General features: G+C 55.3%; 1 pseudogene across 9 annotated transcripts in view, besides 3 other annotated features; it reads left to right on the top strand.

Annotated features, from left to right (window-relative positions):
• LRP5L (LDL receptor related protein 5 like (pseudogene)) overlaps positions 1 to 24,439 on the top strand; it is a 53,991-nt pseudogene that overhangs the window by 21,458 nt on the left and 8,094 nt on the right. For 2 of the 9 annotated variants that reach the window (XR_005228030.2, XR_007068026.1), the window contains exons 2-4: positions 2,373 to 2,570; positions 7,943 to 8,138; positions 23,728 to 24,124. The product of XR_005228030.2 is annotated as an LDL receptor related protein 5 like (pseudogene), transcript variant X8 (transcript). Of the gene's footprint in view, positions 1 to 1,913; positions 2,571 to 7,942; positions 8,139 to 8,521; positions 24,125 to 24,439 lie in introns of those variants that run through there. The other 7 variants (XR_007068032.1, XR_007068028.1, XR_007068029.1 and 4 more) reach the window with 7 other exon arrangements.
• Positions 111 to 617: an enhancer, noted in NCBI's record as "H3K27ac-H3K4me1 hESC enhancer chr22:25779301-25779807 (GRCh37/hg19 assembly coordinates)". NCBI's record gives its function as "activates a minimal SCP1, AML or CMV promoter by ChIP-STARR-seq in naive H9 embryonic stem cells {active_cell/tissue: H9 hESC(naive)}" and the evidence as "EXISTENCE:reporter gene assay evidence [ECO:0000049][PMID:30033119]".
• Positions 16,182 to 17,008: an enhancer, noted in NCBI's record as "H3K4me1 hESC enhancer chr22:25762910-25763736 (GRCh37/hg19 assembly coordinates)". NCBI's record gives its function as "activates a minimal SCP1, AML or CMV promoter by ChIP-STARR-seq in primed H9 embryonic stem cells {active_cell/tissue: H9 hESC(primed)}" and the evidence as "EXISTENCE:reporter gene assay evidence [ECO:0000049][PMID:30033119]".
• Positions 23,520 to 24,019: an enhancer, noted in NCBI's record as "H3K4me1 hESC enhancer chr22:25755899-25756398 (GRCh37/hg19 assembly coordinates)". NCBI's record gives its function as "activates a minimal SCP1, AML or CMV promoter by ChIP-STARR-seq in primed H9 embryonic stem cells {active_cell/tissue: H9 hESC(primed)}" and the evidence as "EXISTENCE:reporter gene assay evidence [ECO:0000049][PMID:30033119]".

Here is a 24,439-nt window from a genome sequence, read left to right as displayed (position 1 = left end):
CAGTGTGTGTGTAAGTACGGGGTACCTGCAGGGGTGGGATGCGGTAGAATGTATCGCCCAAGTATTTTGAGTCCCTGAGGTCAGGCCAGAGCAGCCTCATGTTCTCACCACCTGAGAAGTGCCCCCGGCCTCCCAGGGGTGCCATGCTGGGCAGCCACTCATCCCTGGAGCCCCTCTCATGCCCTTGTTGCCCTCTGAGTGGGCTGTTCACCCGCAGCTGCCTGGGAGCCAGCTGACCTCCCGGGTGGCCTCTGTTCTGCCTGGTGAACCGTGACCCTCTCAGCCCTCTCCCTCTGCCCTGTGGCTCCAGGAGCTGTGGGGTTACTGACCTTCTTTCTGGAAGGGTCAGCTGGTGTCTCTCTGGCTAGGAGGGGGCATCTGCAGCAGTGGGAGAGGCCGAAGATAGCAGCCTGCTGGGAGCCCTCTCCCAGGGCCGGCCTGCGGTCGCTTACCAGCGGCTGCCGCGGTCATCGTGTCGCTGGGACCTGTGCTCCTCCCATCCTCGCCTTCCCTCCCAGCATGGGTCCCTGCAGCTCCCTCACCTCCCAACCAGGCATCCAGCCACATTTGTGAGCCCTTGTGCACCCCACACAGCTGGTATAGCCCAGTCTCTGGCCCTTTCAGTGGGTGGGAGGAGATGGTAAATAAATAGTATTCAAGAGGGACGTGTGCGTGGGGGGATAAAGCAGTGCCTGGAGGCTGTGGCGAGGGGCTTCCATCGGAGCTCAGGTGCCGGGAATGCCTCTTGGTGACTTTTGAGCCGAGACTGGAAGCAGATGAGGCTGAGAACCATGTGGCTATCTGGGGAAAGTGCGGTCCAGGCAGAGGGATCAGCCAGTGCAAAGGCCCTGGGCTAGTTTGGGGTGGGGCTTATTTGAGGGGCTGCAGCAGAATGTAGGGGAACAGGGCCCAAGGTGTGGGGAGAGGACGAATTGGTCTTGAGCAGAGGAGGTGCCACGTCTGACTCGTGCTGGAGGGCATCCCCTGCTGGTTGGAGCAAGAGCTGTGCACATGTATGTGCCTATGTGAGCAGGTATGTGAGGTGGTTGGCATGGGGGCAGGAGCCCTGTCCACAGTTATTACCGGGATCCTTGCAACAGAAGGCAGCAGCGGGGACCCCTCACTTCTGGGGGTGACAAGTGGCAAGATACGGGATCTGTTCTGAAGGGAAAGCCAGCTTGACTTGCAGGCACTCTGCATGTGGGTTCGATAGAAAGACGAGACAAGGATGGCATGGTGCTGCTCTGTGCCTCGGTGTGCTAGGTGTGCTGTTGGGAGGTGCATGATGCTCAGCTGGGAGGTGCTAGGTGCTTGGGAGGTAATCGGTACTTGGTTGGGAGGTGTTTGGCACTTGGGTTTAGACAGATGAATAAGGACATATACCCACCGTTACGTGTCATACAGGATAGTTCCACTGCCCTGATTTTCTGTGCACCACTCATTCATCCCTCTCCTCTCCTCAAACCCCTGGCAGCCACTGACGCTTTACTGTCTTATTTGCTTTTTCCAGAATGTCATAGAGTTGGACTCATACAGTATGTAGCCTTTTCACATTGGCTCTCTCACCTACTAATATGCATTTAAGTTTCCTCCATGTCTTTTCATGGCTTGATAGATCATTTCTTTTCCTTCTTTCTTTTCTTTTTTCTTTTTCTTTTCTTTTTTTTTTTTTGAGACGGAGGCTCACTCTGTCGCCCAGGCTGGAGAGCAATGGTGCGATCTCCACTCACTGCAACCTCCTCTTCCTGGGTTCAAATGATTCTCCTGCCTCAGCCTCCCGAGTAGCTGGGATAACAGGTGCCCGCCACCAAACCCAGCTAATTTTTTGTATTTTTAGTAGAGATGGGGTTTCACCGTGTTAGCGAGGATGGTCTCGATATCCTGACCTCGTGATCCGCCCGCCTCGGCCCCCCAGAGTGCTGGGATAACAGGCGTGTGCCACCCCACCCAGCCAATAGGTCATTTCTTTTTAGCACTAAATAATACTCTATCCTGCATGTTTTGAATTGCCTTTTAGAGGTTCATTTACAGCATTTTCATGGTAGCAAAAAAATCAGAAATAACCCGAAGTTATTTAAAGAACTTACAGCACAGTGCACTATGCAGTCATCAAAAGAACAGGGAATCTTTCTATTCACGAGAAGGGAAGGTGCCCAGAATTTACTGTTAACTGAGAACAAGTTGGAAATAGTATATTTTGATTGCCCAATTTAAGGCAGGAATACCTGAAACCTTACCTGTTGGTTACTTCTGATGGGTGAGATTTTAGGGCAAGTTCACTGTCTATTGTTTCATGTCTGCATCTGTGTGGACAAAAACAAAAAAACAGATCTGTGTTAGCTGCTTCTCCTCTTGCCCTGCCCCCGTCACAGGTACATGTACTGGGCAGATTGGGGTGAGACGCCCTGGATCGAGCAGGTGGGGATGGACGACAGCACCCAGAAGATCATTGTGGACTTGGACATTTACTGGCCCAATAGACTGACCATCGACCTGGGGGAGAAGAAGCTCTACTGGGCTGACACTAAGCTCGGCTTCATCCACCGTGCCAACCTGGACGGCTCGTTCCGGTAGGTACCCGCCCAGTCCCGGGGCACCCCCTTCCCCTTTGCCCCCAGGTGTCCCCAGTGCTTTTGAAGGCGTTCCTTCTTAACTCAGGCCAACAGACTCTTCTCTGAAACTCTGGGGACCTGAGAAATGCATGACTTCTCAGAACTTGAAACAGTGTCAGGGGCTGGGTGACACTTGCCCCAGCACCTGTATATTTCTATAGCAAATGTGGCATGTTCATTCTAAGTAGGGCAGAAAAGACTGTCTGTAGCCCATACCTATGCACAGTTGTTGTTTTCTTTTTCATTATTTTGTTTTTTTGAGGCAGAGTCTCACTGTTTCACTCAGGCTGGAGTGCAATGGCATCGTCTCAGCTCACTGCAGCCTTCACCTCCCAGGCTCAAGCGATTCTCCCACCTCAGCCTCCCAAGTAGCTGGAACTACAGGAGTGCACCACCACACCCAGCTAATGTTCGTATTTTTGGTAGAGATGGGGGTCTCACATGTTGCTCAGGCTGGTCACAAAACTCCTAAACTCAAGCGATCCTCCCCCTCGGATCCCAGAGTGCTGGGATTGCAGGCGTGAGCCACTGCCCCCGGCCCATGCACCAAATGAGGTTTTATCGCCAAATGAGCAACAAAAGCTTTCCGTCTCCAGAGTGTCTTGGATTTTGGAATTGTTGGGGAGGGCTTGTGGCCCGAGGGGGTTGTGAACAATAACCCTGTCACACCACCACCCCCACCCTGGCCCTACCCCAGCTCAGGCATCCTGAGGGCAGCAGCCGGAAGCTGTCTCAGTTATTGCTGCATTCCCCAGTCTCACCAGGGGGCCTTCCACATAGTCCTCAATAAAGTGGGCCAAATGAATGAGTAGGAAGGTTTTCCCCTTGGTGGGTAATTGCTTTTAGAGCCTTCTGGTCAGCATAGCTTCACAGCCCCATACTTAATTACACCTTAGAAAAACATCCCCTCCATGTACAGGTGAAGGGCAATTTATTCACTGACCAAGTACTGCCTGCTGCTGGCTCTGTGCCAGGTGTCAGGGATCCTCCTGGGATGGCACACCCCATTCCTGCACTAGTGGAGCTCCTGGCCTAGGCAGGGGGTGTGGCGGGTGTCGATGCAAAGAGCAGTAGTGACTGCATGGGAGGACCCAGTGGCTGGATTTCTGCAAACACAGGCCAACACCCACATGAACAGACTTGAGGGCCTGGGCAGCTTTGCTCTGTGCTCGCCAGGCCTCATGTGTTAGTTATCCATTGCTGTGTAACAAAACAGCCCACAACTTAGCAGCCTGAAACAGCAAACAGGTTTTTTACGGGGGGGGAGGGGGTCAGCAATGAGGAGTGGATTAGCTGGGTGGTTCTGGCTCAGGGTGTGATCTGAGGACACATTCAAGCTCCTGGCTGGGGCCTTAGTCATCTGAACGTTTGAGTGAGGCTGGGAGATCCACTTCCAAGCTCATTCTCATGGCAAGAGGCCTCGGTTTCTCCTGTTCCTCTTATGCTGAGCCACACATCTCTTTTGGGCTGGTTTGAAAATATCCCGTTGTCCTGGAAGTGCAGACTGGCTGGGTCTGGTTTGAGATTTGGAAATGTGGCTACCCTGTAGACTGTGGTTCTTGGGAGCTGAATGATCTTACAGTTATGAAGGGTGGATTAGAGGATAGAAAGGCTGCAGCTGGGAGTGCCCTGGTCAAAGGATGGTAACAGGAGACAGTGAGGGTGATGGCAATTGAAACATGCTAATGGTGGTGGCGCAGCAATTTACTGTTTTCCAGGGACATTTATCAGTTCATTTAATGCTCACACCAGCTCTATGAAATGTTTGCTGTTATGTTATATTTATATTTTTTTGAGGCAGGGTCTCACTTTGTCACCGAGGCGGGACTGCATTGGCATGATCTTAGTTCACTGCAGCTGTGACCTCTTTTTTTGTTTGGTTGGTTTTGTTTGAGATGCAGTCTTGCTCTGTCCTGCAGGCTGGAGTACAGTGGCACAATCTCAGCTCACCACAACCTCCACCTCCTGGGTTCCAGCGATTCTCCTGCCTCAGCCTCCCAAGTAGCTGGGATTACAGGATTTTTGTATTTTTTTAGTAGAGACGGGGTTTCACCATGTTGGCCAGGCTGGTCTCGAACTCCTGACCTCAAGTGATCCTCCCACCTCAACCTCCCAAAGTGCTGGGATTACGGGCATGAGCCACCAGGCCTGGCCGCAGCCTTGACTTCTTAGGCTCAAGTGGTCCTCCCACCTCAGCCTCCTAAGTAGCTGAGACCACAGGCATGCACCACCAAGCGTGGCTAATTTTTTTGGTATTTTTTTGTAGAGATGGGGTTTCACCATGTTGCCCAGGCTGGCCTCAAACTCCTTAGCTCAAGCCATGTATCCGCTTTGGCCTCTCAAAGCACTGGGATTACAGGTGCGAGCCACTGCACCCGGCCTGTGTTTGCTATTATGATGCCCTGTGCACAGAGAGGCAGGCATGTGAATTTGCCCAAAGCCACACAGCGAGTCACAGCCAGGGTTGGAATGTAGGGTCTCTAGCCCCAGGGTCTGTTCTCAGCTTCTCTCCTACCTGCCTCCCCCTGGGATTCTTCTGCCTCTGCAGCAGCCATTTCTCTTCATGAATGCACCCAGGGCTACTCACGTGGAACCATCATGTGCGGGGGGACAAGCTCTGAAGCCGCACAGACTTGTGTAGGCCCCTTTATCTGTGACTGTGGCTCGGGCAAGGGCCAAGGCTGACCTTCCCTTAGTGCTTCTGGTTGAGGCAGAGCATGGCCCGGAAAGCAACCGGGAGTGATGGGCCTCTGGCTTTTCTCATCAAAAAATGGCAACATGGCCAGGCACAGTGGTTCACACCTATAATCCCAGGCTTTGGAAGGCTGAGGTGAGAGGATCATATGAGCCCAGGAGTTCAAGACCAACCTGGCAACAAAGTGAGAGCCCATCTACTAAAAATAAAAATTGGGCCGGGTGCAGTGGCTTATGCCTGTAATCCCAGCAGTTTGAGAGGCTGAGGTGGGTGGATCACCTGAGGGTCAGGAGTTCAAGACAAGCCTGGCCAACATGGTGAAACCCTGCTGCTACTAAAAATACAAAAATTAGCTGGGTGTGGTGGTGGGCACCTGTAATCCCAGCTACTCAGGAGGTTGAGGCAGGAGAACTGCTTGAACCTGGGAGATGAAGATTGCAGTGAGCTGAGGTCGCACCATTGCACTCCAGCCTGGGTGACAAGAGCAAAACTCCATCTCAAAAAAATAAATAAATAAAAAATTAAAATTAAAAAATTAGCTGGCCATGGTGGTGCACACCTGTGTTCCCAGCTACTCAGGAGGCTGAGGCAGGAGGATTGATTGAGCTTAGGTGATCAAGGCTGCAGTGAGCCGTGATCATGCCACTGCACTCCAGCCTGGGTGACAGAGCAAGACCCTGTCTCAGAAAACAAACAAACAGACAAAAAAGGCAACATTGTGGAAAACAGTTTGGTGATTCCTTAGGATGTAAACATTGATTTACGTATGACCCAGCAATTCCGCTCCTAACTATATACTGTAAGAATTGAAACAGGTATTCACACAAAATGTGAACGGACAGGAATGTCTATAGCAGCACTGTGCACAACAGCCGAAGGTGGAAACGACCCAGAGGTTCCCAGCAGGTGAATGGATGCACAGACTGTTCTATCTGTGCATTGGAATATGGTTCACCCCTAGAACAGAATGAAGCACTAACACGTACAGCATGGATGAACCTCAAAAAACATGGTGCTGAGTCAAAGAAGCCAGACATCAAAGGCTGCATGTTGTGATTCCATTTATGTGAAATGTTTAGAATGTGTTAGACAGAGCTGTCGAAAGCAGATCAGTGTTTGCCGGCGCTGGGGGTGTGGGCCGGGGAGTGACTGTTGGTGGGCGTGGGGTTTTCCTGTGGGGCAATGGAAGGGCTTTGGAACTAGACAGAAGTGGAGGTTGCACAGCCTTGCAAATGTGCTAGATAGCTCTGAATTACTCACTTTAAAGTGGTAAACTTACGCTGGGCACGGTGGCTCATGCCTGTAATCCCAGCACTTTGGGAGGCCGAGGCGGGTGGATCGCCTGAGCTCAGGAGTTCGAGACCAGCCTGGGCAACATGGTGAAACCCCGTCTCTACCAAAAAATACCCACCAAAAATTAGCTGGGCATAGTGGTGCATGCCTGTGGTCCCAGCTGCTCTGGAGGCTGAGGTGGGAGAATCAGTTGAACCTGGGAGGCAGAGAGCAGGGAGCTGAGATCACCCCACTGTACTCCAACCTGGGTGACAGACTGAGACCCTATCTCAAAAAAAAAAAAAAAAAAAAAACAGCGATAAATGTTATGTCCTGTGAATTTTACTTCAATAATTTTCTTAAAAACAGCATCAACAAAAACGAACAAAAGAGGTGGTGGATCTGCAGAGCACAAGCCCACAGCTTCCATCTCCCCTGTGCCACTTCATGAGCGTCACCTTCTCCTGGCAGCTGTGCTGAGGGCTGGGGATGTGGCAGGGACCATCTGCCCCCAGGCCCACCCTCAGGGAGCCTGTCACGGGGAGAGGGTCATTAAGCAAATAAAACTACACATTACTGACCATGTCACATTACGATCCTGTTACCAGTGTCCATAATCTCATTATACCCGAGTCCTCCTTTGCTGGGCACTGTAGGCACCTAGAAAAGAATAGCTGTTTCTCGTGTTGATGCCACGTTTAATTTACTCTGAAAATATAAATTATGAGCATTGTAAGAAGGAGCAAGTGCACGTGGCCTGATTTGTATTCAGAGGTTTAAGCCTTGGGCAGGAGAGGTGTCCTTTTCACCAGGTGGGGCTTCCTCCTTTCTTCCCTGGGGGAGACTTTGCCACTTGACCTGGGGGACTCCATGTGTCACTGTCACAGACTGGGTTTGGGAGGCGCCCTGTGCACGCCAGGAGAGATGTACGAGGGCGCCAACTCCTGGGGCTCTTGACCTGGCCTCACTTGTCTGGTTGAAAGTAAATGGGAGGCCGGGAGTGGTGGCACATGCCTGTAATCCCAGCACTTTGAGAGGCTGAGGCAGGCGGATCACCTGAGGTCAGGAGTTTGAGACCAGCCTGGCCAACATGATGAAACACTGTCTCTACTAAAAATACAAAAATCAGCTGGGCATGGTGGTGGGCATCTGTAATCCCAGCTACTCGGGAGGCTGAGGCAAGAGAATTGCTTGAACCCGGGAGGTGGAGCTTGCAGTGAGCTGAGATTGCATTACTGCACTCCAGCCTGGGCGACAGACCAAGACTCCATCTCAAAAAAAAAAAAAGAAAGTAAATGCGTCAGCAGCAATGACTGTTGGGGGACCCTCCTGATGGCTCTCTACCCCGCCTCCCTGACTGCAGGCAGAAGGTGGTGAAGGGCAGCCTGACGCACCCCTTCACCCTGACACTCTCCGGGGACACTCTGCACTGGATGGACTGGCTGACGTGCTCCATCCATGCCTGCAACAGGAACACTGCGGGGAAGAGGAACGAGATCTTGAGCGCCCTCTACTCAGCATGGATATCCAGGTGCTGAGCCAGGAGCAGCAGCCTTTCTGTGAGTGCCGGCTGGGGCGTGGGGATGTGGGGGCATGGGGATGTGGGGGCATGGTGGGTGGGGTGGGAGGTGGGCGGCCCCTCCCTGCAAAACTCCATGCTCTGGGGGGCCCCCTCTCTAAGGGGTGCCTGCTGCAATGGAGGGAGGTGTGTGCAGAGTGCGTGGCTGGCCAGGGGGCACGGGTCTGCAGAGGACCCCTCTGCAGGGCTTGTGTGGGCTGTTCTAGGGCTCAGCAGTGGCAAGGGGATTCCCAAGGGAGGTCGCCTCATTTTCAAGGCCCAGAAGAAGTTGCATGTATATATATATATATATATATATATATATATATATATATATATATATGCATACTAAGATAGATATATATGTATATGTATTTTTAACAGAGACAAGATCTTGCCGCATTGCCCAGGCTGGTCTCAAACTCCTGGGTTCCAGTGATCCTCACACCTTGACCTCCCAAAGTGCTGGGGCACAGATGTGAGCCACCATGCTTGGCCCTGCAAGTTGCATATTTATCAATGAATAACCTGCTCAAAGTCAGCAGTTCTCAGCCTGGGGGCCACGCAGGGTTGGGACAGAGTCCCTGATGGGGAAATGCACCAGCTTCTGTGACAGTGGGGCTGTGGCTCTGGGGACAGTGGCCCACCCCCACAGGGACCAGGGATGGAGATTTCTGGCTAAGTCATTACGGAAGGTTAGGACTTTGGGACTCGGGTGGCAGCTGTTCACAGAGCAGGACACAGGAGGGTGGGGCTCTCTGGAGCTGTTTCCTGTTGAGAAAGTCATGGTCACAAAACCCATCTACACTTGGGGCAGTGTGAGGGAGGGGGAGGTTCATTTTGGTTTGTTTGTTGTTCCAGTTAACTCCGTATTTTGGGGCTGCTACACCCCAGCTTTCCCCTGGTTAGAATGAGGTGCTGGAAGCATTATTGAGTTCCATTCAATTGCTGTTGGTCATAGAAGGGCTTGGGAGAGTGACAAGCTTGGCCATCCTGGCAAGAGGGACAGTGATCCTGTGGAAGCTGCAAAGACAAAACAGGCCTTTTGCCCAGGAGCCCACTGTCTCTGGGGTTGCCATCACTACCATGCAGGCAGGTCTTGACTCCTGCCATTTTAGTGTGGGGGGCAGCCTTGCAAAGGGGTGTCCTTATGGGCCTCGAGGAGCTGGGGAGTGTTTTCTAATCATAGGAGCTTGGTGGGAGGGAGCAGGTGGTGAGGATGCCACTCCATGGGCAGGTCACATCTGGGTGTGAGGGTGGCCAGGAAGGTCACGGCTGGTTTTGGGGAAATTGCAGACCGTCTGGCCAGGCTGAGGGCCCAATGTGGAGGGGGCCAGCGATGAGGTAGGTGGAGTGGTGCCTGCGGGGAGGTCCCTGATGCCACTTGAGGCTGGCGTTTGGGCAGAGGGACACACTAGGGGCTGTCACAGGAGACGAGGCAGGATGCGACTGATTCAGAAATAAGTGATGGTCCTTTTCTGGAACCTTCTCTCACTCTGTCCTGGTTTTCCCAGTCCACACTCGCTGTGAGGAGGACAATGGTGGCTGCTCCCACCTGTGTCTGCTGTCCCTAAGGGAGGCTTTCTACATGTGCGCCTGCCCCATGGGTGTGCAGCTGCAGGACAACGGCAGGGCATGTGAGGCCAGTGAGGCAGTGGGACGGGGCGGGGCCTGGCAGCAATGGGCTGCAGCCAGCGGGGGTGCCCCAGAAGGAGCGTCGGCCAACCCGTTCAAAATGATCCACTTGGCGAATGTGGTGATTCAAGTCTGTGGTCCCAGCTGCTCAGGAAGCTGAGTTGGGAGGATCTCTTGAGCCTAGGAGGTCAATCCTGTTTTGTTTTTGTTTTTTGCTCTAGATGTTTTCCCACTTTTTTACCCTCCGCCTTGGTCCTCAGGCACTTGGTGCTCCCCAGGACTGTGTTGCAATGAGGCATGGCTCTTCTCCTCTGCGGCACCGGCTGAGGATCTTTCTTTCCAGGTGTCAGGTTCGGGGTGGGCCTTTCGGGAAATCACACACTTTCAGGATGCAGCTCGCCTTCGGGGATGCTCCTGGGCCTGGGGTAGCTGGTTTGGCCTCTGGGGCTGACCCTAGGGCCTGGTGAGCGAGGGGGTAACAAGAGATGTCAGGAAAGCGCCATCCCTGAGACCAGGTCTCCCCGTTTCTGTAGCATGATGGGGCCCAGCTTGCAGAAGGTGGTGGGGACAGGGCCTGCTTCCTGTGCCAGTGTTCCACTTGGGAGGGCAGGGGGCTTCCAAGTGGGCTGGCTTCCAACTCAGGGACAGTCCTAAGAGGGGGGCAGAGTCTCGGTGTAGGGGCCCCCTAGGAGGACTCTCCTGGCATCCAGTGGGTGGAGAAATCTTGCTTACACTGCTGTCTGAGCACATGGGGTTCCTGACTCTAGGGACAGTTTCCTGGTCCCTCTGCTCTTGCCAGTTAGGGTTTGTATTTGTGTGCAGCGGCCAGGGAGAGTGTGTGTGGTCGTGGCGTCCGTGGTGGGTGCATCTTTTCTCTGCTCCCTGGCAGGGGTCTTTCCCTGGCAGGTGAGGACTTTCCACGTTCGTGTCTTTCTCTTTCTGAGAGCAGAGCATCTTTAATGAAGACATGGCTGTTTCATCAAAGGGTCTGTCCGCTGCACCAGCTACTGCAGGGGACAGTTGGAGATTCTCCTCCACCAAGCGTCTTGTTTTCCCAAGTGGTGAGAGGGAGAATTTGAGAAATGGGGTCTCAGGCAGCCTAGTCCTCATGGTTCTGGACAGCACCCCATTCATTCATCTGTTTGCTCATTCATTCGGTCGTCCATCCATTTGCTCGTTCAGCAGGCGTTTGTCGAGCACTTGCCGCGTGCTGATATTGCTCCGAGGCACTGGGGATCCCGCAGTGCAGACAGAATCCCGGGCCCCTGGTGCTCACACCCTGGGCTCTGGGGCTGGGTGGGTGGGGGAGATGGCACAAGTGAGTCCACGAGGGAGTCGTGCATTAGAAAGGGTGAGTGTTTTGGACACCCGCTCCTCCGTTGCCTCTGGGGCCCTTCGCTTTTACCTTTCACCTCAGCCTCAAAGGCAATGTTGAGAGAGAAACTGGAACCAGGGGAGGAGTCCAGATGAGCTGCCTCGTGAGTGACCCAGTGACACCAGGGGTTTGGACCAAGCAGGTTAAGGGTGGATTATAGACCCTTGATGGGGAGAAGTAGCTTGACCAGGTTGGATCAGCCCCTCATTTACTGAGGAGGCTGAGGGCAAGTCACCGGCCTGGGGTTGCCCATAGCAGGTGGCATAGTAGGTTCTAGCAGGTAGCATGGTAGGTTCTAGCAGGTGGCATAGTAAGTTCTAGCAGGTGGGGTCTGGCTCCCAGAGGCATGAGTTTGCTGCTGCCCCATGCCTGGGCCCTGGTGGAGCAAAGCCCTGGTCTCCCTTGCAGACTGCCTCAGGACCCTGCCCGCTCCCCGGAGGAAGGGGTGCCTCGGCCACACAAGCCTTAGCGGAGAAGGATGCTTGGCCTGCCGGCTGCCTGGGAACCTTGGCCTTCTCAGAGTTTGTTTTCTCTCCTTCCTGTCTGTCTGTTGGTGAGAAGAGGCTGAACTCAGTGCCGGAGCTGGACCCTGCGTTCAGCAGTGTGTCGGTCAAAGTCCTGTTGGAAAGGGAAAGAGTGAGGACATAGGGGCTCATGATGGCAGGGAGTGGCCACCACAGTCAGGCCCGGGGGATGGAGGGGAGAGAGCATCACTGGAACGTGGCATGGGTTTAAAACAGACAGCTTGGCCAGGCGCGGTGGCTCACGCCTGTAATCCCAACAATTTGGGAGGTCGAGGCGGGTGGATCATTTGAGGTCCGGAGTTCAAGACCAGCCTGGCCAACATGGTGAAACCCTGTCTCTACTAAAAATACAAAAGTTAGCCTGGCAGTAGTGATGCGGGCCTATAATCCCAGCTACTTGGGAGACTGAGGCAGGAGAATTGCTTGAGCCTGGGAGGCAGAGGTTGCAGTGAGCTGAGATCGTGCCACTGTACTCCAGCCTGGGAGACAGAATGAGACCCTGTCTCAAAAAAAAAAAAAAAAAAAAAAACCAACAACAACAAACAGGCAGCTCATCCTGGCCAATCTGAAAAAGGTGGAGCATATACGTTCCCCAATATTCACAAATATTTCATAAAATATCCGAGAAGAAAGCAGTTAATGAGATGGGCCTGTTCCCCTGCCCTGAGGCGCACGTGTGATGGGGGCCATGTCAGGAAGCATGCCGGCACGCAGATGGACATAGTCAGGACAGACCTGGATCTGGTACGGGACACAGCAGGGGCTGAGCTGGAGACTCCTGTACTCAGGTGTGGCCACCTGAGCTGGCAGGTCAGAGGTCTCTCCCAGGAGGCCTGAGATCTGAAGGACTAAAAGAGGGAAAGGCAAGAAGGAACAGCACATGTGGTGGCTCTGAGGCAGGAGCATGTTGGTGTCGGGACCGACTTCATGGGCTGTGCGACCTGTGTAGTTACATGAGGTGAACTCTGTTGTTGTTGACCTGAAATTCCTACCTTTTGAGTAAGGGGCTCTCTGGACTTCCATTTTGCAGTGGTCTGCACAAATTCTGTAACGGGTCCTGCTCTGTGTGTTTGAGAAGCTAAACGGAGGTCCGGAGGTGGTCTCTTACTCTCTTGGTGTGTCTGTCTCCACATTTTATCTTCTCTTTTGTTTTTTTGTTCCCCAGCCCTGCCTGCATTTTTTCTGTATGTGACTGTGTGTCTGTGCGTGTGATCGAACCATAAGGCTTCCTGGTATTTATTTCACTTATGCATTGCAGAAACATTTGCGATTGCAGGAGGTAAATATGTATCAAAGACATGAGTTTTAGTGTCCGAAGAATTTTTTTTTTTTTTTTTTGAGTTGGAGACGGAATCTTGCTCTGTCGCCCGTGCTGGAGTGCAGTGGCTCCCAGCAGCTTCCACCTCCCAGGTTCAAGTGATTCTCCTGCCTCAGCCCGCTACCACACCCAGCTAATTTTTGTATGTTTAGTAGAGATGGGGTTTTACCATGTTGGCTAGGCTGGTCCTGAACTCCTAACCTCAGGTGATCCGCCTACCTCAGCCTCCCAAAGTGCTGGGATCACAGGCATGAGCCACTGCGCCCGGCCTAGTGCCTGAAGGATATCTTATCAAGACATGTCTTTTAGCTGTCCTCCCGCTATGGGGCGTTTCTTTTCTCTTTGTGTTTTTGCCATTTCTGAGTCTCACTGCTGTGGTTTGGGGGTGGGCAGGGCCCTGGAGTTAGAGGGAGCAGGGCCTGGTGTCTGTTGCCACCATCGATTGGTGATGTCTGCCTAAACGCTGTGTTGCGTCTGTTGAGGATGTCTGCCCTGGGAGAGCAATGGGCATGCTGGAAGCAGGTGTGGTCACCATCTCTGCTCTTGGGGTGTCAAAGCAAGGCTGGGATGGACATTTGTCGAAGGAGTGGGGGATAGACACAACCCCCACAAAAGGCAGATCGTGCAGTCGACGCCTAGCCCCAAGAGGGGAAGGATCATTTGAGGTCAGGAGTTCAAGACCAGCCTGGCCAACATGGTGGCCAACATGGTGAAACCCTGTCTCTACTAAAAATACAAAAATTAGCCAGGCGGTAGTGGCGTGCCTGTGATCCCAGCTACTCAGGAGACTGAGGCAGGAGAACATGTTGCACAGGGAGCTTTTGTTAAGGGTCCCTGTGTGGCTCAGAGTTCCAGGAACGGGTGTGGGCCCTGATAAAACCCCAGACTCATGGCTCAGTGAAGTTGCACAGCTGGACAAGCCTGGAGACCCTCAAATAACTTGCCCAGGCTACCCTGGCTTGCAAAGGGCCATTGCTCATCCAGGAGTGGACGGTGCCTGGCATGCAGTGGGTGCCCAGTGTTCACCTGCCACGTCCACTGTCCATGCACTTATTACCGTCATGCTGTCACCATGACCAGCGCCTTAGGTGCTGTGGCTGGTGCCAGGCCCGTGAGAGCCGGGGCAGGTTCGCTCAGGGTCCAGATTTGCCTGCATTGTCCCAGAGTCCTCCCACACCCGGGGGAGTGGGCTGTCATTGGGAGCCAGTAAGGGGGTGTTGATTTCTTTTCCAACCAGTAGAGGCAGGGGCCATAGACTTAGGTGGAACCGCTGGCTCTTTGCTGGCTCCCAGGGTTCTGACAGCTGGGTCTTCTGAGCCCTGGGGACTGGCTGCCTGTGGCTGAGCCCTTCAAGGGCATTGCGCTCCTTCTGCAAATGTCACTCCCAGTCTCCATGTCCAGGCCCAAAGCAGCCCCGGGGAGTCCTCAGGGCTCATTTTCCTGCAAGGGGGTGGGTGGGGGTCAGCTGGGGCAGGCCCTGTGGTGATTAGAAGAGGCTGCCTGCGCCCACAGAAGGTGGGTGGGCTACTCAGAGAAGGAGGCCCCTGCAGGCTGGCAGGGGGCCTGGTGGCTCTGGCCCCAGCCCTGGTGGTTCTGTGGCATGGAGCTGACACCACAGACACCTGTGAGGTTGGACCGCTGGACTAGCAGCACGCCCTGCCCTTCCTGTTGGAAGCTTGTCCAGTCCAGAGCTGTCAGGGCCACAGGGGCTGAGCATGCAGCTCCACACTCCCTGGAGACTCCGCCATCAAGGGTCAGCTTTGTCTGGTCTTGTGGAAACTGTTTTTGCCCCCAGCCGTGAGAGGCACTTTTACACATAACTGAGTCGGAGCATGACAGGCATGTAGGAGAGAAACATTTTGTGTCATTTAGAGGCCCTGCCTGGGTGGGACTCTGGCTGGGAACATCCACATGCAGCCAGTGCGGGGACTGGTTTACTCTGAGCCTCAATCTTTCTGCTTTGGCTCCAGATGCTGTGTTTGGGTGTTCTGTCAAAGAGAGAACAATGCTCCTCGATGAGACAGAAGGATGCAACCGGGAGTCTTGTTTTGCATGAGGATGTGAGCGTTTCAATTCACTTTTTTTGTAAACATGGTTCCCCAGCCTGGCCTCAGGGGTGCCTGGAGATGGGCCCCACGGGGCTTCCGGTTAATTAAGCGGGCAGTGCTGGACATGGATGCTGGCTTCTCTGTCTCCCTGCCCTGGACCCTTTTGAAGCTGAAGTGTTCCAGGGGCAGCTGGTATGGAAAAGGGGAAATAGAGTTTTCTAGAGGTTTTAGAGTTGAGTAGAAACCTAGACTCTTCTCAGAAGCATTTCAAGGGTTTGTCACCAAGGTGGCTCTCTGCAAATTTGAGGTGGTTCTAGAAGATCTTTCCATATTTCTTAATCCAGAGGGAGATGGAGATGGGTGAGAAATGGCTTTGTCCATGAGGAACTCATGTTCTGGTTGGAGGACAGGCGGAGCCTGGCATTGAAGTTGGTGAGTCAGAGACGGATCTGTGGGTGGGGCCAGAATGGGGCTTGGGCTTCAGACCTCACAAAGCAGACCACATGGCAGCCTGGGGCGTTAGTATCCAAACGTCCTGCCCTCCAGGTTTTATTCCTTGCCATAAAATATCACATTAAAGGAAAACGTTTTGTTAAAAGACCACAGTCCTGTCACCTGAGCACAGTAGCTGTTCTCTGTTCCTCTTTGGCCTTCCAAGCGGCAGGCGCCCGTTTGTGTTGCGGCTGTGTGCCTGGCGGGCATGAATTAACTGTGCAGCATGGCTGCGGACGGTGAGGTGAGGTGAAGACGCCTCACCTCACCTCGATTCGACTGAAAACCGTGTGGAGATAGAAGCTGCTCACACAGGGGCAACATGAAGAAAATGTGAAATTCTGTTGCTTGTTGTAGCTGACAGCACGACTCTGAGGTCCCGGTGGGCAGAGGCCTCGTGCAGGGCACCTCACCAGCCGGATGTCAGAGCTTGCCGGAAGGCGCAGTGCCCGTGGAGGGCTGCCAGTGCCCAGGGAGCCTTCCGAGGTGTCACGTTGGGCAGTGGAATTCAGAGTCAGGCAGAGGAGGCCCTGGGGTCACACGCGGATCTCCTGGCTGTGGGTTGGTGAGGTCCAGTGTCCGGGGGTGAAGGATAGAGGCCGTGTGGTGAGGGCTCCGGAGCTGGCCCTGGGGTGGCAGAAATGCAGATAACGAAGGAGGGTGTGCTGGTGGGACTTGTGCCTGTTCCGGAGGGAGGCATTGGGAGTGACGTTTAGGCTGAGAGGATTCAGGATGGAGGACATGGCTTAGTTTGTAGTTGGGAGCCTGCCGAGGACTGTGGTGATGAGGAAATGCGGTGTCAGGCAGACCCAGGACTTGGAGCACCTAGTTCCACTTGCGGGCTGGCTTTCTGTTTTTGGTCATTGTGTTGGGACCTTGTGAAAGTGACTTAACCTCTCGGTGCCTCAGTTTCCCCATTGGTAAAAGGGGTGATTATGCTCCCCACTACACAGGGTTTGGAGGATGGCCGTGCGGGCCGTGCCGAGCAGCGCGATGGTGCAGGCCGTCTGGGTCAGTGCTGAGAGAGCGAGTGTTCCTTCGACGGTTGCAATCAGAGGTAGCTTCCAAGGCTGGGTGCTGCCAGGAGGAGCTGGGGAGGCTGATGGGGCAATGGGGAGCACAGCTCACACTGCTGGCAGGCAGCCTGGGGAGGACAGAGGGGGCTGTGCTGGGCGCTCCAGGCATGTGGTTCCCTTTCCTGTGGGGCGAAGACCAGCATGGGGGCAGGGCCCAGCTGTGTCAGGACCACTCAGACTCTTATGACACATCCAGAGTCCCTAGCCCCACCCCAACCCACCCAGTCCACGAGAAGGAACAGGGTGGGGAGGTGGGGCCCAAATCTGCGAGTTCCCAAGGGAGGCCTGTGTGCAGTAAGTTGTCGGGGGCGGCGCTGGCACAGCTGGAAACATCTTGGGGTTTGAAGCCAGAGCCTCAGGTGAGACTCAAGGGTCCCTGGGACTCTCTTCTGGGTGTCTGACCGTTTATGCTTCGTGGAGTTAGAGGCGAAGACATTTCTGTGATGTCTTGAATTCTGCTTTTTCCTGATTTTGAGCAAATGAAAGCCAGCCTGGTGTAGGCAGTCGGGTGCCTTCCCCAAGTAAGGGGCTGAGAGGGTGGTCATGCCGGGACCCAGGGGACAGGGAGTAGCATTCCTAGGGGTGCACAGGCAGCCCCCTAGAGGCAGGGATGTGTGGGGGTCCTTGTGCTGCTGTGTGCCTGCAGGGCGGCACTATTCACATGGCCCTGGAGCTGCAGGGTGATTGCTGGCCCTGGGCTCTGTGTCCTGGCTCTCCCGCCCCTCCTGAAGTGGCCCCCATGAGACAAGGCAGGTATGTCCTGTGAGCAGCCCTCTGCTGCCCAGCGTGGCCAGGGCTCAGTGGGACCACGGCGGCTGCAATGCTGCTCTCTGCAGCTCAGAGTCACTCTCATCGCCAGCAGTCGAGTGCAGAGCCTGGGCCCCCCGGCCTCCCCAGCCCCTCCACACCACCCCAGGACCGAGGCAGCAGCTGGCTTCGGTTTCTGCCATGTTTTTCCAAGTATGTGGAATGAGCTAAAAACAGCAGGAGTGGGGCCTTATTTGGGAGTTGCCACTGCCGTCCTTGGAAGCTGCTGTCCCTCACTGCCACCCCTCCAGCCCCATCCTCGGTGGAACATGCCCCTGTTGCTTTGACTTTTGTCGCCCGAACATCCCTCCTGGTTGGGGGCCTTTGGGCAGTGGGCTTAGTGGCGTGCGCCATGCCACTTGGGCCACACGTGCCCAGGCTGGTGGCTCTCGGGGCCGTGTCCAGAGGGTGGCTAGGCTGTGCTCCCGGCAGTGCCCAGATGAGGCTGGGGTGTGGCTTGGGGATTTGTGGGCCACCGGCCACAGCTCACCCAGCAGAGTTTTAACAGATGTTCGTCTGTCAAGTTTGCTCCCAGCTGTGTTGTCTGAGGCAGGCTGCCTTCCCATAGCGGCGGCAGAGCTGAAGAGATGGGAAGGAGACTGTGTAGGCCGCAGCACCGAACATATTTGCTCTCTGGCCCTTCCTAGAGTGCTTGCTGACCTCTGTCCGACAGCTGGAAGGAAGGATAGGACCCGTCCTACGATAACCACTATTGACATTTGAGCGCATTTCCTTCCCGGCTTTTGTGTGAAGGTGGCAGTCTCTTTGCTTTTGTGGTTGGGATCTGCTGCAGGCACGGCGGGCTGTTTGCCTGAGGCTTCCTGGAGGACAGGGCTGGGCTCGGAGCTGCACCAGCATCCTGCACGCACTGGGGCCTCAGCAGAGAGCCGTGGCGGGCGGGGCAACGTCAATGCTGGTGGGCGCTGGGCCTCCACGTTCAGATCAGCCCTGGCGATAGGTTCGGGCCACCCTCTCTCTGGCCTCCGTGCAGTGGCCCAGGCCGCCCCCCTGCCTGGCACACTTGCCTCTGGCTTTCCACTGAAGCGCTCCTCTTACCCGCCGCTCCCCACTGGGTATGGGTCCAGTCGTGTCCCTGAAGGAGATATGCTGACGTCTGGAACCTGTGTCTGTGACCTAATTTGGAAACAGGGTCTTGGCAGATGTAATCAAGCAAGGACAAGGTCACCCTGGAGTAGGGGGCCTATATCCACGGTGCTGGTGTCCTCATGAGAGCAGGAGAGCAGACACTGACACTCGGGTGAAGGCTGCATGGAGTCAGAGCAGGGCTTGGTGTGATGGCGGCCACAAGCCAAGGAACCCCAGGTATTTCCTGCAACTCCAGAAGCTGGAAGAGGCCAGGAAGGATCCTCCCCTGGCGCCTTCAGAGAGAGTCTGTCCCTGAAGATGTCTTGACATTTGACTTCTGGGTTGCAGGTCTTGGCGGCGGGGTACATTTCTGATGTTAGAAGCCACCTGGTTGGCGGCGATGTGTCACTGCAGCCCCCCACAGGTTCTGGGTGTCCATGTGGTCGGGGGCAGAGGTGGGCAGGGACAGACATGTCCATGACACTGGCCCATCCCTTAGGACTGCTTTTTGAGGACAAGGCTGCTTACCAGGAAGTTGTACCCTGCCTGGCCCTTGCCCCTGCCCTGTGCTTGGCTCGTGGAAGGGATGTGGCCCTTCTCTCCTGCATGCGTGCAAGGAGGAAGGGAGAGGTCAGAAACCCGCCTGGAGGAGGCTCGGGCGAGGGGAAGGTTTCACTTTCCGGCAACATTGTGGGGCTGGCTGTTTGTTTAAACAACCCCAAAGAAAACCATTTGGCCAAACTGTTAGTTTCCAAACAATTTACTTCCTTGGTGTTTGAAAAACTCCTACCAAGGCTCTGTAGCTGGTCCCAGGGAAGGAGTTGGCCTCTCTTCTTTATAGCCCAACACAGTCCCCTGCACCTGCCCCTCCCAACCCCAGGCCTGCTTACCTGTGGCCATGGCTGCTGCCCGGACCTCACTACACACACAACCTCCTGGAGGCCAGCTGTGGGCACCAGCCTTGGCAGGCATCTGGCAGAGCCCAGGCTGGTGGGACTCTCTCTGCAGCTGCTCCCTGCCAGCCTGGCTGGACAGAGTCCCCACCACACTGGGGTCACCTCTGTACTGCTCACAGCTCACTCAGACCTTCAGGCAAATAGGTTGGGTCCTGGCTCTCTCCCAGGTGTCACAATCTCTGCAAAATTCAAAAACCTCAGGGGCCTTGTAGCCTGAGGCGTGTCAGAGACTCCTCCCTGGAGTCAGTAAACACCTACAGATTCATCCCAGCAGTGAAAGGACTGCTTCACCACAGAGGTTTGATTTATTCCTAAGTAATTGGATGGGATGCCGAGAATGGGTTCCTGATGGTGGAACTGGAGGCCCTTTGCTGACCTAGTTAACAGAGGGCTAGGGCTGGGTGTGCTCAGTCCCTGAAGGTTCTAGGCCCATTTGGGACGCCCCGCCAGAACCTGCCACATGGTGACAGCTACCTAAATCCCAGAGGCTCTTGAGCTGGAGAACAGACCTCTCAATCTCAGCAGGTCCCCTGCACGTACCCCATAACCCTAGCCTGCCTTCACAGTACAGTTTGTGGCTGTGTATTCACGGATGGTGTCGTTCACCTAAGGTCTCTGCCCTGTGACCCCAAGGGCGTCCAGAGGGCAGATCCCAAGTCTGTTTCATCCACCTCTCCTTCCCTAGCAGCTGGTCCAGGGCCTGGCCTGAAGTAGGTTCCTACAGAGATACTGGTGGGATGATGGAGGCAGCCAGGCATCAAGTGACAAACGCGCTTCCTGGATGTGCTGGCTCCTGGGATTGAAGTATTTGAGGAAGCGAAGTGAAGTGAGCTTTCCTCTTGCAGCTGTGTGTCCTTGGGCCGGGAGCCTACCCTCTCTGAGGATTGGGGTCCTTGTCAGTAGGATGGGGCATCCTCATAGCTCGAGGGGTAGTGTGTGAAAATTGTGTTAATGATTTTTTTTTTTTTTTGAGACGGAGTCTCACTCCAGTGCACAGGCTGGAGTGTAGTGGCACGATCTCAGCTTACTGCAACCTCTGCCTCCTGGGTTCAAGTGATTCTCCTGCCTCAGCCTCCTGAGTAGCTGGGGTTACAGGAGTGCGCCACCAAGCCCAGCATAGTTTTGTATTTTTAGTAGGGTTTTGCCATGTTGGCCAGGCTGGTCTTGAACTCTTGACCTCAGGTGATCCACCTGCCTAGGCCTCCCAAAGTGCTGGGATTACAGGCGTGAGCCACTGCGCCTAGCGTACTTTAGTGATTTCTTAGGACGACGGAGGGAACTAGCTAGCAAGGCAGGCTTGGAATGTGTTTTGGGATCAAATGCCGGTTTCTGTCTGGCACTGGCGTTCTCTGTGGGGCCATGATGGACACACTGCTGAGGTCAAGCGTGATTCGTCTCACGCTGTGCCTGGCAGTCTCGTTGGAAAGTTCTGTAGACACCGTGTGGACAGGGCTCTTCCCAGCCAAGCCCTGGAGGACTTCCAGGACTGTGATCTCCCCACCGTGGCTGATTAAGCAGGGACCCTTCGTGGAGTCTATGGTCCCCTCTAAGTCATAGCTAGACAGGGACTCAGGCACCATCAGCCCTGGCTGTTATTCACTGTGGATGAGGAGACAGGCCCAGAGAGGGGCAGGAACCTGCCCGAGGTCACCAAGCACGGGCAGGCCCCAGAGGTTTCGGTCTCAGATTCTCCCTGCTCATCCCTGGATGTAGCGCTGCTGTGGACGTGGGGCTGTGCTAGGGGCTGTGGAGAGCAGAGGGCTTCTGCCAGGACCCCAGTGAGCCAGTAGGGGTGGTGCCTTGGCCATGGGGCAGACTGGGGGTACGGGACAGCCATCCACCGGGGTGTGGGGAGGAACAGCTTCCCTGAGGAGGCGGTGCCGTGTGACCTGGGCCTTGAAGGACAGGTCCAATGTCAACAGAACATTTTGGGAGTGGAGCCTAGAGGGAGAAAACTTGTTGAAATTCAGAGATCCCCCTCCCCCTACCAATACACACCAAATCAGACGCCTCTGACCAGATCTGAATTTGGCTCTCAGAGATTTCCATTGTAGCCAGGCAGTTGGGGCACTTTCTGAGTGCTGCCTCCACCTCACTGTCCCCAGCCTGCCTGCCTCCGTTTCCCTAGCCCTGGGCCTGTGCCGCTGTCACCATCACCTGGGCGCCCTCTAGTGGATGAATCGGATTATGCACGAGGGGGCTTGGAGCAGGATTCAGAAGGGGCTCCTGTCCTTCCTTGAAATGCTGGACGCCGGGATCCTGGAACAGCTCTTCAGGTCTCTGCATTCCTCCTGGCAACAGCCAGAGCCTGGGCGCAGGGGGCTACTGTTGTTTGAAGGCTGAAGGCTGCAGCCTGGTAGGGCACTCAGGAGACCTGGCAGTTGGCTGCAGGGCCAGGTCTAGGGGCCAGGGCATGAGGGATGCTCTGGGCTGGCTCAGCCCCGGGCCCCCATGCGGATTGTGACTGTGGGGGCATGGCCACATGATGTTGAGGGGGGATCTCTGACCCTGACCTTCTTGGCTCTGTGCATCCTTGAAACCAGAAAGGTCTGGAACAAATCAGTGAACAATGCCCTAACTCGGGGAGGGAGCCACATCCTGACCCCAGCAGCCTCAGAAGGATCCGTGTCAGGGTTATGGGGCACCCTGGGGGCCCCGAGTCTGCATGGGTCTCCACATGCAACTTCTGCCGGAAACTCTGAAAAATCCCAACTGGGGGGTCATAGGACACAATCAGAAATGCTGATGCCACTGTGTGTGGATCCCCGGGCCCTGGGGGGTCAGGAGCATGTAGAAGGTGGGCCACAGGGGGTTCATAAGAGAATCCTGTAACCGCCCCTGCCCCCCAAACTTAGAAGCCCACTGGAGGGCCATGGGTGAAAGCTTGGGGGGGTGTCCTGTGGAGTGGGTGGTGGGGGGTCTTTGGGTTTACATGCTGCTGGGCCTGAGCAGCAGGACCCCGTCCACAGCTGATCCCTGGGCCCTGCTGCTCAGCTGCTCTCTTGAGTGTTGCTGTGGCTGCCGAGAGAGCCTGAGTCGAGCCTCTCTTGTGCCGGCCGTACGCTGTCAGGCCACGCTGGTGAGTTTGGCAAGGCACAGATGCCCAGAGCAGAGAACTTTCCTTGGGGATTTAATATGTGCGAATCTTGAGGTCCGGCAAATCTTTCCCTCAGCTAGAGAGGGGGTTTTTGAGACTAGAATCACCTCAGCATCCTCCTGTCCCCAGCTGTGTCCAGCCTGTCTGCAGGGACATCCTGAGAGGACTAGGCTCTCCCCTCATCCACCTGCGTAAGTGCCACCCTGAAGCCTGTCCACCCATGCTTGGAGAGGCTTGGCCTCAACCTGCTTAGCCAGCAGCAGGCTTGGGCCTGGGGTGCAGCAGAGACCCAGGTGGCTGTGGGGTGGTTGCTTCATGGGGTGGTTCTGAAACGCAGTTGGAAGTGCATGGACAGTGCCTTACCTGTTCTCTGTGGGACCCTGTTTAGAAACCAGGTCTGAGTTACTGGGGGTCATCGCTACATTCTGATGGCCTAGCTGTGTGGAGGCCACGGTGGAGCCCCATCCAAGGAGCCAGGGCCCTGGGTCTAGCCGTGACCAGAACGCATGCCCTGGAGGTGTTTCTCATCTTGCACCTGTGTTGCCTGGTGTCTCAAGTGGCCACAAAACTGTGTTAGCTCTTGGTGCCCCTGGGCTTCGGAACCAGGGTTTCCCTTCATCTCAGTGACCCGGGAGCATCTGGGCAGTGAGTAAAGAGGGTGATTTACTTGATGGGTACGTTTGGTCCTGCCTGGGAGCCCCCCCAGGCACGGTCCTGGGACCTGAAGCTGCCCTCGTTGGTGGAGGGGAGGGAGAGAGCTTCAGGGATGAGGTGGCGTTGAGCTGGGCGGGAAGGGTGAGCCCCTGCAAGGTGGGGTGGGTGTGCTGGGGACGCTGAGCAGCACGGCCAGCAGGTGGGTCTTCAGCTCGGTACCCGGTGGGACTTGTGGTTGGGGCTGGTGTGTGGCCAGGAGAGGGGCTGGCAGAAGACAAGGGGGACTGTGAGGCAGCTCCCATCCAGCGGTTGAAGCCTGATGGCCTGGCTCTGTGCCTCAGTTCTCTCATCTATAAAATGAGAAAACAGTGCCAGCCTCCCAGACCTGTCATGAGGATGAACGAGTGACCACGTAGCATGGGCTGGGTGCGTGTCACCTAACATTACCAGCCTTTGCAAGGAGAGCCCTGGGGACCTGGCTGAGTTTTTCCCTTGCCTGGCCCACTGCACCTGTCCCCACAGGAGCCAAGGAGGTCCTGCTGCTGGCCCGGTAGACGGACCAATGGAGGGTCTCGCTGGACACACCGGACTTCACCGACATCGTGCTGCAGCTGGACGACATCCAGCATGCCATCGCCATCAACTATGACCCAATGGAGGGCCACGTCTACTGGACGGATGACGAGGTGTGGGCCATCCGCAGGGCATACCTGGATGGGTCTGGGGCGCAGACGCTGATCAACACCAAGATCAACGACCCCGATGACATCGCAGTCAACTGGGTGGCCCGAAGCCTCTATTGGACCCACACAGGCACTGAACACATCGAGGTGACGTGCCTCAACAGCACCTCCCACAAGATCCTGGTGTCAGAGGACATGGACGAGCCCCGTGCCATTGCACTGCATCCCGAGATGGGGTAAGACGGGTGGGGCCTGGAGCCAGGGCCAGGCCAAGCAGAGGGAGCTTGACCTGGACCAGTCATTCTGGAACACTGTCTTGCATCAGAACCTGGAGGAAGGCTTGTTAAAACACCAGCGGCTGGGCCCCATCCCCAGAGTGCTGATTCAGGAGCTCCAGGGCAGGGCTGAGGACTTGGGTTTCTAACAAGTACCCAGGTGGTCCGGTGCTGCTGCTGGGTCCATGCATAGAAAGCCCTGGAGACCTGGAGTGAGCCCTTTCTTCCCCTAGCTTCAGCTTCCTGATCTGTAGAATGGAACAGTCCACCTGGGTG

This window comes from Homo sapiens, chromosome 22 (assembly GCF_000001405.40).
Source record: "Homo sapiens chromosome 22, GRCh38.p14 Primary Assembly".
Taxonomy (NCBI): Eukaryota; Metazoa; Chordata; class Mammalia; order Primates; family Hominidae; genus Homo; species Homo sapiens.
This window is presented reverse-complemented; position numbering and strand designations above follow the sequence as displayed.